General features: G+C 37.7%; 1 long non-coding RNA gene across 1 annotated transcript in view; it reads right to left on the reverse strand.

The window, feature by feature from the left end:
- LOC105374021 (uncharacterized) overlaps positions 1-13,293 on the reverse strand; it is a 40,806-nt gene that overhangs the window by 11,973 nt on the left and 15,540 nt on the right. The window lies entirely within an intron of this gene.

Consider the following 13,293-nt stretch of genomic DNA (forward strand, 5'->3'; position numbering starts at 1 on the left):
TAAAATTAACAAATTAGCCACAAAGTTAGAAGTTACGGTTCAGGGGTTATGCAGCCGGAAGCCACAGGATCACTCACTTCCCCAAATGCTCCTATAGATAACATTACTATGATAAAACCTGAGATTAGTGTTTGAAGTATTTTTCAAACCCTACACTTGATGGATCAGCTGGCACCACCGAGATGGATAAACTGGCTCACTCATCTGGTCTTGTGGCCCCTATCCAGGAACCAACTCAGTGCAAGAGGACCGCTTCAACTTTGTATGATCTCTCCGACCCAACCGATCACCACTCCCTACTCAATGCCCCCATACCCACCAAGTTATCCTTAAAAAAACCCAATTTCCAAATTTTTGGAGAGACTGATTTGAGTAACAAAACTCCAGTCTCCTGTTCAGCTGGCTCTGCGTGAATTAAACCCTTTCTCTATTGCAATTCCTCTGTCTTGATAAATCAGCTCTAACTGGGCAGCAAGCAAGGAGAGCCCATTGGGAAGTTACACTAAGGGCCATTTGATAGATGTGTCAGTTGTTTCATTCTTGTTCTACATTTTCACCTTGAACCTTCCTTCATCCAAAATATTTCAAACCTCTCCTTTAAGCTGGAGCATAGCAAGAAAAATATATCTTAGTTATCATTATAAACTCAATGCCCAGCACATAAATAGTACCCATTAATTAAATGCTTGCTTAATTGAATTGATTGTTATAGTGTTTACAGAGTATTTATTAGAAATAATAATTGTGTTTTTTTATTTTATTATTATACTTTAAGTTTTAGGGTACATATGCACAATGTGCATGTTAGTTACATATGTATACATGTGCCATGCTGGTGCACTGCACCCATTAACTCGTCATTTAGCATTAGGTATATCTCCTAAAGCTATCCCTCCTGCCCCCCATCCCACAACAGTCCCCAGAGTGTGATGTTCCCCTTCCTGTGTCCATGTGTTCTCATTGTTCAATTCCCACCTATAAGTGAGAATATGCGGTGTTTGGTTTTTTGTTCTTGCGATAGTTTACTGAGAATGATGATTTCCAATTTCATCCATGTCCCTACAAAGGACATGAACTCATCATTTTTTATGGCTGCATGGTATTCCATGGTGTATATGTGCCACATTTTCTTAATCCAGTCTATCATTGTTGGACATTTGGGTCGGTTCCAAGTCTTTGCTATTGTGAATAGTGCCGCAATCAACATACGTGTGCATGTGTCTTTATAGCAGCATGATTTATAGTCCTTTGGGTATATACCCAGTAATGGGATGGCTGGGTCAAATGGTATTTCTAGTTCTAGATCCCTGAGGAATCGCCTCACTGACTTCCACAATGGTGAACTAGTTTACAGTCCCACCAACAGTGTAAAAGTGTTCCTATTTCTCCACATCCTCTCCAGCACCTGTTGTTTCCTGACTTTTTAATGATTGCCATTCTAACTGATGTGAGATGGTATCTCATTGTGGTTTTGATTTGCATTTCTCTGATGGCCAGTAATGGTGAGCATTTTTTCATGTGTTTTTTGGCTGCATAAATGTCTTCTTTTGAGAAGTGTCTGTTCATGTCCTTCGCTCACTTTTTGATGGGGTTGTTTGTTTTTTTCTTGTAAATTTGTTTGAGTTCATTGTAGATTCTGCATATTAGCCCTTTGTCAGATGAGTAGGTTGCGAAAATTTTCTCCCATTCTGTAGGTTGCCTGTTCACTCTGATGGTAGTTTCTTTTGCTGTGCAGAAGTTCCTTAGTTTAATTAGATCCCATTTGTCAATTTTGTCTTTTGTTGCCATTGCTTTTGGTGTTTTAGACATGATTATGTTTGGTACCTTGAAATTATGGTAATAAAGTTCATATAAGATATGAATGTTTAATGAATAGATAGCAGTTCTACTAATATTTTCTAGGAATTCTACATAATGAAATAACAAACACCATTTTTGTTTTCCGAGTGTTTAAACTGAGGCAAAAATAAAATTTAAAATTGAATAATCATTACTTCTCTCATATGAAAACTAATAATATACATGTAAATAAAATCAAAATATTTTACCCCAAAATATATTTTTTGGCATGCTTTAAAATGGCTTCTGTAGGGCCAGCAAACAGAAGTGGCCTTGCAAAGTTGTCTTTTGTGGAGAAAAATTTGCACTTGTGGCGAATGTTCATTAATGTTGCCAGGCCTTTTCTACGCCTTTCCTAGACTGAGGAGAGATTAAGAGTCTGACACCTTTAAAAGTCTAGAAATAAATATTTACTATCCATTCTCTCTGAGGAAGGCTTCGTCTACATAACAAGGCCACCTTTGCTAGCCAAGCCTCTTCTTTTCTCTCTCTCATAACCTGTCTTACCATTAAACCGGATTTACCAACAATACCTGTTTTTGGCCATGCTCCAATTCTTTCTGTAACCTAGAGATGGTATATAAGCTTCTGTAACTTATTAGGTCTTCATTCCGAAGGCTCCCATGCATACATATGCATTAAGTAGATTTGTATGTCCTTCATCCTATTAATCAATCTGCCTATTGTCAGTGATTTTTTTTTTTTTTTGAGATAGAGTCTCGCTCTGTTGCCCATGCTGTAGTGTAGTGGCATGATCTCAGCTCACTATAACCTCCGCCTCCTGGGTTAAAATGATTCTCCTGCCTCAGCCTCCCAAGTAGCTGAGATTACAGGCACTCACCACCACGCCTGGCTAATTTTTGTAGTTTTAGTAGAAACAAGGTTTCACCACGTTGGCCAGGCTGGTCTTGAACTCCTGACCTCAGGTGATCCACCTTCCTTGGCTTCCCAAAGTGCTGGGATTACAGGTGTGAGCCACCGTGCCCAGCCTAATTTCAATGATTTTCAGTGAACCTCCAGGGGGCCAACAGCAATGGTCCCCACATAAACATATCTACAAAAAATATTGTATAACTCAGGTTTTGAGAAAAAATATCTCTTGTTAACATCATTGAATTGTTTCTTGTGAGTTTAAACAAGCAGAGAAAATGTGTGCATTCCTGACAATAGCCTCATTATTATGCCTGTTTTTCTATATTACTTGAATCCCAAAATTTATGTGTTTCCTTCAACACATTCCTTCTTAAAAAAACTGGCTTAATAGACAGTTTTTGGTGAAAGTTGTTCCTTAAGTTTTTATGTATGTCAAAAAAGTTAACTCAATTTAAGATATGCTCATCCAATCAATAGAAAAATATATTTATATTGACTGATCAATAGTATTGTTTTAAATGCCTAAGAATCAAAAGTGGAAAGTGAGGGCCAGGTGGCCAACTAGACCCAGCCAGGTGGAACAGCTCTCGCTGGGGGACCAAGACAATTGGTGTGCTCCTAACAGATTTTCAAAGGGAAAACACTGAGTGTGGACAAAAGGAAGACATAGAAGCTGGGCTGAAGGGGGAAGAAGCTGGGGACCCTATATGGGGCTATCACACACCTGGACTCCTTCCTGGCTCCCAACAGCTTCAGGGGAATGGGTGATTTGAACTGGCAAGGAGTTTCCTACTCTTGCCATGGGCCTCTGGAACTCCAGCAGGAGGAGACCTGTTGACCACCATGGACACTGGAGTTGGCAGGGAGAGCTGCTTAGAGAAGTGGTAGGGGCAGCAAGCTAGCTGATTGGAGCCCAGAGGGTGGGATGTAGAAGTGTCTCTAACAGAGCATGGCCAGGGACAGCCATCCTCCTAGGCTCGACTTGCACCCATAAGAGATTTTAGCCCTAGGGGAGCTGTCAGTCCCGAACTTTGAGGGCAGTCTTGCCCATCAGACAGGGTCAGTCCGACCTGAGAATTCCTTGGTCTGCTGGCCCCTTCCAGGGCGCCAGCCTAGCTATGCCTAGGTGCAGGGCAGCCTCGTGTGCCCTAGGGGCCCACACCATAACTTTTGTGCTGGTGGACCATGCCTGACTGGCAGAGAGCCTCAGTGGGGCAGCCTCCATGGCCATGCACTAGCCTGTACGCTCCCTCTCCATACTGCAGCTTCCCCCAGGCTCAGGGCAACTCCCCGCATCTCATTGCTGATATGTGTCTCCACGGGCTGGCTTTGCTTTCCTCACCCTCTCAGCGCACAGGAGTGCAGTCCATCCTGTTCCATGCTGAATGCCATTGCAGACAGAGCCTTGGTGGGCACAGAGCCCACCCCCTGCAGTGCCCTGCCCTGTAGCTAACACTGTATAGAGAACAGTAGATCCTCCCTTGCCCTGAGTGACTACTCCTGCTTGCAGGGCACAGAGACAGCACCCAGACCTGTGCCCACCAGCATAACACCACCTCTAGCATGACCATATACACAGTTGCCAGAAGGGGCCCCTTGGTCTGCCCTCTCCCCTGGCATTGTGGTGAATGCCTGCAGGGAGGGAGGCAACCAATAGCATGCTACTACAGCTCCTGCTACCCCTGCTGACATGTGACAATAAGAACAGATCCTGCTGCCACCAAAATACGAAACGTTTTGGCTGACATAACCCATCAGAGTGTACTGCCCAGGAGATCAGGAGCACCTTCAATCCCCAGCGCAGTGGATTCCTAACAATCAGGAGACAGAGAACAAAGCCAGGGCCAAATACAAGTCCTACAGAATTACAGCAGGCAGTCCAGGAGCTGGGAACTGAGCATTGGCCCCATAAAATCTTGTAGAATTGAAGCCAGTCAGCTGCTACCTTCATGTTATACCAAAATGAAACCCTCAAAGTCATCAAATAGTATAAAAGATAAAAAAAAAAAAAGCCCATCCAAAGGTCCACAACCTCAAAAATTGAAGGAAGATAAGCCCACAGGAAAGAGAAAGGATCAGTTCAAGAACGCTGACAACACAAAAAGCTGCCGCACCTCCTTTCCTCCAAATAACCGCATCACCTCTCTAGCAAGGGTTCTGAACCAGGCTGCAATGGCTGAAATAACAGAAACAGAATTCAGAATATGGATAGGAACAATGATTACTGAGCTACAGGAGTACGTTAAAACCCAATCAAAGGAAGCTAAAACTCATGAGAAAACAATGCAGGGGCTGACAGACAAAATGGCCACTATAGAAAAGAATGGAACCAACCTGATAAAGCTGCAAATGAACTACAAAAATTTCATAATGCAATCACAATATTAACAACAAATTATAATAAGTAGGAAACAATTCTCAGAGTTTTAAGACTGGCTTTCTGAAATAAGACAGTGATACAAGAATAGGGGAAAAAATGGAAAGGAAAGAACAAAACATTTGAGAAATATGGTATTATGTAAAGAGACAAAATCTATGACTGATTAGTCTACCTGAAAGAGATGAGGAAAGTGTAACCAACTTGAAAAACATATTTCAGGATGTCATCCATGAGAACATCCCCACTCTACGTAGAGATGCCAACATTAAAATTCAGCAAATGCAGTGAACACCAGAAAGATATTTTACAAGAAGATCATCTCCAAGACATATAATCCTGAGATGCTCTGCAGTCAAAATGAAAGAAAAAAATGTTAAATGCAGCTAAAGAGAAAAGTCAGGTCACCTGCAAAGGGAGGCCCACCAGATTAACAGCAGATCTCTCAGCAGAAACCCTATAAGCCAGAAGAGATTGAGGACCAATATACAATATTCTTAAAGAAAAAAAATTCCAACCCAGAATTTTATATCCAGCCAAACTAAGCTTCCTAAGTGAAGGGAAAATGAGATCCTTTTCAGACAAGCAAATGCTGAGGGAATTTATTACCCCCGGATCTGAAAGAAGCTCTCAAAGGAAGCTTCAAGAGCACCTTAAGGAAGCACTAAATGTGGAAAGGAAAGACCATTACTAGCCATTACAAAAACACACTGAATACACAGACCAGGGACACTATGAAGCAACCACATAAACAAGTCTGCAAAATAACCAGCTAACATGATTACAGGATCAAATCTACACATATTAATACTAGCCTTGAATGTAAATGTCCTAAATGCCCCAATTAAAAGGCACAGAGTGGCAAGCTGGATGAGGAACCAAGACCTGTTGGTATGCTATCTTTAAAGACCCTTCTCACATGCAATGACATACATAGCCTTAAAATAAAGAGATGGAGAAAAATCTACCAAGCAAATGGAAAACAGAAAAAAGCAGGGGTTGCAATTCTAGTTTCTGACAAAACAGACTTTAAACCAACAACATCAACAAAGACAAAGAAGAGCATTACAGAATGGTAAAGGGTTCAATTCATCAAGAAGATATAACTATCCTAAATACATATGCATCCAACACACAGGAGCTCCATAAAACAAGTTCTTAAAGACCTTCAAAGAGACTTAGACTCTCACACAATAACAGTGGGAGACTTTAACACCCCACTGACAATATTAGACAGATTATCAAGAAAGAAAATTAACAAAGATATTCAGGACATAAACCCAGCATTGAATCAAATGGAGCTTATAGACATCTATAGAACTCTCCACCCCCAAGCAACAGAATATACATTCTTCTCATCACCACATGGCACATACTCTAAAAGCAATCATGTAATTGGACGTAAAACACTCCTCAGAAAATGCAAGAGGACTGAAATCATAAACAAACTCTTGGACCACAGTGCAATTAAATAAGAAATTAAGACCCAAAAATTTACTCAAAATCATACAGTTATATGGAAATTGAATAATCTGCTCTTGAGTTTACCTTTGGGTAAATAATAAAGCAGAATTCAAGAAGTTCTTTGAAACTAATGAGAAGAGAGATGCAACATACCAGAATCTCTGGGACACAGCTAGGGCAGGATTAAGAGGGAAACTTATAGCACTAAATGCTCACATCAAAAAGTTAGAAAGATCTCAGTTAGATTAACAACCTAATATCACAACTAAAAGAACCAAAGTACCAGCACCAAACCGATCCCAAAGCTTGCAGAAGACAAGAAATAACCAAAATTAGAGCTGGACTGAAGGAGATAGAGAAACACAACAATTTTGAAAGATCAATGAATCTAGGAGCTGGTTTTTTTAAATTAATAAAATAGACCATTAGCTACACTAATAAAAAAGAAAAGAGAGAAGATTCAAATAAACACAATCAGAAATGAGAAGGGGGATATTACCACTGACACCAAAGAAATACAAATAGTCATCAGAAAATACTATGAGCACCTCTATGCACATAAACTCAAAATTCCAGAAGAAATTGATAAATTGCTGGACACATACACCATCCCAAGACTGAACCAGGAGGAAATTGAATCCCCAAACAGACCAAGAACAAGCTCTGAAATTGAGTCAGTAATAAATATTCTACTAACCAAAAATTAGCTGAAGACCAGATAATTTCACAGCTGAATTCTTCCAGATGTACAAAGAAGAGCTAATGCCATTTGTACTGAAAATATTCCAAAAAAATGAGGAGGGACTCCTTCCTAACTCATTCTATGAGGCCAGCATCATCCTGATACCAAAATCTGGCAGAGACACAATAAGAAAATAAAACTTCAGGCCAGTATCCTTAATGAACATTGATGCAAAAATCCTCAACATAATGCTGGCAAACCAAATCCAGCAGCGTATCAAAAAGATGATTCACCACAATCAAGTAGGCATTATCCATGGGATGCAAGGTTGGTTCAAAATACACGAATCAATGAATGTGATTCATCACATTAACAGAACTAAAGACAAAAACCACATGATTATCTCAATAGAGGCAGAAAAGCCTTTTGATAAAATTTGCCACACATTCATGTTAAGAGCTCTCAATAAACTAAGTGTTGAAGGAACATAACTCAAAATAATAAAAGCCATCCATGACAAACCCACAGTCAACATTACACTGAATGAGCAAAACCTGGACGCATCCAACTGGCAAAGACCAGGATGCCCTCTCTCACCACTCCTATTCAACATAGTATTGGAAGTCCTGGCCAGGACAATCAGGCAAGAGAAAAAAATAATGGGCATCCAAATAGGAAGAAAGAAAGTTAAACTATCTCTGTTTTCAGATGATAAGATCCTACATCTAGAAAACCGCATAGTCTCAGCCCCCAAATCTCAAGCTGATAAACAACTTCAGCAAAGTTTCAAGATACAAAGTCTATGTACAAAAATCACTAACAGTCCTATACACCAACAATACTCAAGCAAGAGAGCCAAAGTAGGAATGCTATCCAATTCACAACTGCCACACAAAAAAATAAAATACCACAGGAATACAGCTAACCAGGGAAGTCAAAGATCTCTATAAGGAGAGTTATGAAATACTCCTCAGAGAAATCAGAGATGATACAAACACATGGAAAAATATTCCATGCTCATAGATAGGAAGAATCAATATCATTAAAATGGCGAGACTGCCCATAGCAATTTATAGATTTAGATTCAATGCTATTTCTATTAAACTGCCAATGCCATTCTTCACAGAACTAGAAAAAGTTATTTTACAATCCATATGAACCAAAAAAGTGTCCAAATAACCAAGGCAATCCTAAACAAAAAGAACAAGGCTGGAGGCATCATCTACTCAACTTCAAAGTATGCTACAAGGCTACAGACACCAAAACAGTATGGTATTGGCACAAAAATAGACATAGAGACCAATGGAACAGAATAGAGAACCCAGAAATAAGGCTACACACCTACAACTCTCTGATCCTTAAACAAGCTGACAAAAACATCACTGGGGAAAGGACTCCCTATTCAATAAATGGTGCTGGGATAATTGGCTAGCTATATGCAGAAGAATGAAACTTGACCCCTTCCTTACACCATATACAAAAATTAACTCAAAGTGAGTTAAAGACTTAAATATAAAACCCAAAACTATAAAAACCCTGGAAGACAACCTAGGCAATACCATTCTGGACATAAGAAAACACAAAGATTTCATGACAAAGACACCAAAAGCAATTGCAACAAAGCAAAAACTGACAAATGGGATCTGATTCAACTAAAGAGCTTCTGGACATCAGAGGAAACTATCAACAGAGTGAACAAACATCCTGCAGAATGGGAGAGAATATTTGCAAAAAAGTAAGTCCATATGTAGAAATTTACCCTTACTCCAGAACTATGCAAAAAGACATAAGAATGCAATTACAGGTATGAGTTCTGCATGTTTCTTTGAAAAGGCTTCAAGTATTAGAAATAAAATGATGGCATAATAATACCTCTTCACGTTACCAACTAGTTATCCAAATACAAGCAAGTTGGGATAACTGGCTAGCCACATGCAGAAAATTGAAACTGGACCTCTTCTTTACACCACATACAAAAATCAACTCAAGATGGATTAATAACTTAAATGTAAAACCTAAAGCTATGAAGCCCTGAAGGATAACCTAGGAAATACCATTCTAGACATAGGCCCTGGCAGAAAATGTCAAAAGCAATTACAACAAAGACAAAAACTGACACATGGGACCTAATTAAACTAAAAAGCTTCTGCACAGCAAAAGAAACTATCAACAGAGTGAACAGACAACCTACAGAATGGGAGAAAATATTTGCAATCTATGCATCTGACAAAAGTCTAATATCCAGAATCTATAAGGAACTTAATTTACAAGTAAAAAAACAAACAACCCCATTAAAAAGTGAGCAGAGGACATGAACAGATACTTTTCAAAAGAAGACATACATGTGGCCAACATGTGTGGAAAAAAAATGCACAACATCACTAATCATTAGAGAAAGTCAAATCAAAACCACAATGAGATACCATCTTACACCAGTCAGAATGGCTATTTTTAAAAAGTCAAAAATTAACAGATGCTGGCAAAGTTGTGAAGAAAAAGGAACACTTATACACTGTTGGTGAGAATGTAAATTTGTTCAACCACTGTGGAAGACACTGTGGCAATTTCTCAAAGACCCAGAACCAGAAATACTATTGGCTTCAGCAATCCCATTACTGGTTATATACCCAAAGGAATATAAATTGTTCTATTATAAAGACACATGCATGCATATGTTCACTGCAGCACTAGTCACAATAGCAAAAATATGGAATCAACCTAAATCCCCATCAGTGGTAGTCTGGATAAAGAAAATGTGGTACATATACATTATGGAATACTTTACAGCCAGAAAAAAAAGAATAAATCATGTCCTTTGCAGGAACATGGATGGACACACATGTATAATTTTATGATTTACATACATCTATAAAAATATATATACCTCTACAGCTTTTCACATATTTCTGTTCTGAAATTCAAAAAGAAATTAAACTGTCTCGGACATAACATATTTGTCTGAAGAGCCATTTGGATCCAAGCCAATTAGGAAAATAATGGACAAATATCTGTCTACATCCATTATCCTTAGCGAACTAAAAAAGGAACAGAAAACCAAATACCACACATTCTCACTTATAAGTGGGAGATAACTGATGAGAACTCATGGACGCAAAGAGGGGAACAACAGACACTGAGGCCTATTTGAGGGTGGAGGGTTGGGAGGGAGAGGATCAGGTAAAATAACTAATGGGTACTAGGCTCAACACCAGGGTGAAAAAATAATCTGTATAAATTGAATTATTTAGTGTAGGTACTGTTAGTGCTCTACCTAAATTGAATTATTTAAAGTAGAAATTATAGCACACAGTTGTCTGAAAGCTAATCTGATATCATGTTTAAAGTATACATCCACATGTCCTAAAGTAAATTTTTGTTAATATTTTTTGTTATTTTGAACAAAGACGGTGCTTCTTATTATCAAGGAAGATTACTAATTTTTCTTTCTTAGAAATACATCAGTTGATCATTTTATAAGTAAAATTTCTAAAACATGGAATCAAATTATGTGTGGAGACTCTGATAGAGAAAACAGTGAAGTTAACTGATTAAAGTAGAGTCAAACACATGGCATTGACATTATTAATACAATTTGTGAAAACTTGTCTAATACATTGGGCCATTATTTTTTTGAATGTGTATTTTATTTAATTCAAAATAAAAATACAATATATTAGTGGGATTTAGAATAAATTCCATGATAAGATGCAACACATCTTTATTATTGAGTTTTCTTTTCTTTCTTTCTTTCTTTTTCTTTTTTTTTTTTTTTTCCCACTCTGTAGCCAGACTGGAGTGCAGTGGCAGGATCTCAGCTCACTGCAACCTCCGACTCACTGGTTCAAGCGATTCTCCTGCCTCAGCCTCCCAAGTAGCTGGGATTACAGGCACGTGCCACCACGCCCAACTAATTTTGTATTTTTAGTAGAGAAGGGGTTTCACCATGTTGTCCAGGAGGATCTCGATTTCCGGACCTCGTGATCCACCCGCCTCGGCCTCCCAAATATCCCTTTTACAGTTGTAGTCTTATGTAATAGGACTTGATAAAAGGAGAAAGAGGAAAAGGAGGAGGAGAAAAAGATGAAAACTACTAGCAATCTTTATATACAAGAATCAGAATGTAATTAAAGTATTATTTATTATCTACATCTTAATCATTAATTTTCACCTTAAGTGCATTCTTCTAAAATTGATTATTAGTAGTTAAGTTTAAAATCTGCTTCCTTGATTTTCGTTTGTGTGAACTGATTATTAGGAAATTATGCTCTTGATAAAAACTGTATTTTTAATCAGAATTTGTTAAATTTACAAAAAGGTTTCAGTCTGTGCATTACTTTTAATGTGAAATACACACATGTATAATTTTATGACATATACTTCTATGAAAATATTTATCTCTACAGCTTTTCATATTTTTTGGGCTGAAATTAAAAAGGAAATTAAACTGTCCTGGGCATGACCCATGTTTGTCTGAGGAATCATTTGGATCCAAGCCAATTAGGAAAATAATGGACAAATTATCTGTTTATATCTTCTCTCATCACAGACAACTCTCTGATCCAAATAAGTTATAAAATTTTCCTTGGATTCTAGATTTCTAATGAGACCATTTTTGTTCTTGAGGAAACATCAAAATCACTACTGATAGGTAGTTAAATCCCCTCCAACCGTGAAGAAACAAGAGTTATGGAAAAGGGCGATTACCACAGAGTCACTACATGCTGCACATACAACCATTAGAGAAAAATAAATGCAAGTGAATTTAGAATAACACAGATAGCACACATGAATTCCTGCTTTCAGAGAACAATCAGCTGCCAAAAATCTTATTCTAAGGATCTATATAGACTTTAGGCCTCAATTTCTGATTGGATTTCACAAGTGAAATGTTAGAAAAACATAATCTTCTTAACAAACTACATTAAAATTCCCCTAAAATTCTTAAAACACAAAGCTTCATTCTACTTACTTTCAGGAACTCAGATTTTCTCATTTATATTACCACTGAAGCTCAGTTTGAATGACCTTCTTATATATTCTGACTAAATCACAAAGATATACTATAGCAAAAAACACAAACTCTTCATGTCTCTCTCTTTCCATATATATACATATACACACATATGTATACACACACATATATGTACATGTATATAATTATATATATGTGTATGTAATTTGGCATTTTTGATTAAAATATACTCACCCTTTTCTAATACCAACCCTAGTTTAATGTCTTCTTCTAGACTATTAAAAAAAATACTCAACTCTGACCTTGTATCTTTATAACAATTGAGATATGTTACATAATTAACCTAGAGGTCAAAAATTTTTATTAGAGATACAAGTATGTCCTCATTCACACCCTACATCTTCTAATTTTATTCTAGTGCTGACTTTGGTTTTTAATATCTAGTCCTAGGTGGCTTCATTTTATTAAACTATTCAAAAGGAAATAGAAATGAGTACATGATTAAAAGAACCAATAAAGTAATATCAGTCAAAAATAGTAGAATGAATTATCAAGAAAAAAAATAAGAAGACAGCATGCATATTCCAACACTTTCGTCTGAGAAACTAGAAGAATTTTCCAGAACTTCATCATAAGGAATTATAATAACACCTGGACTGCAAATGGCAGAAATTGCAGCAAAGAAGGTGCAATGAATATCTCCCAAAATTCATACGTTGAAACTTAATTCTTATTATGGTGATATTAAGAGGCAGGGCCTTTCAGAAGTGACTAAGAACCCTCATGAATGGGTTAGTGCCATATAAAAGGGTTGGAGAAAACTAGCTAGGCCCTTTTTGCTTTTCTGCTCTTCCACCACGTGAGGACACAGTGCTTGCTGCTTTTGTCATGTGAGGATGCAGCAAGAAGGCCCTCACAAGACATCAAATGTTGACACTTTAATATGGTACTTCCAAGCCTCCAGAAACTTAAGAAAGAAATTTCTATTATTTATAAATTATTACCCAGTCACCACTATTATGTTATAGCAGCACAAACAGACTGAGACAGAAGGTATCTAAATCTTATACAATGTTAACATCATGT

This window comes from Homo sapiens, chromosome 3 (genome assembly GCF_000001405.40).
Source record: "Homo sapiens chromosome 3, GRCh38.p14 Primary Assembly".
Lineage (NCBI taxonomy): Eukaryota > Metazoa > Chordata > Mammalia > Primates > Hominidae > Homo > Homo sapiens.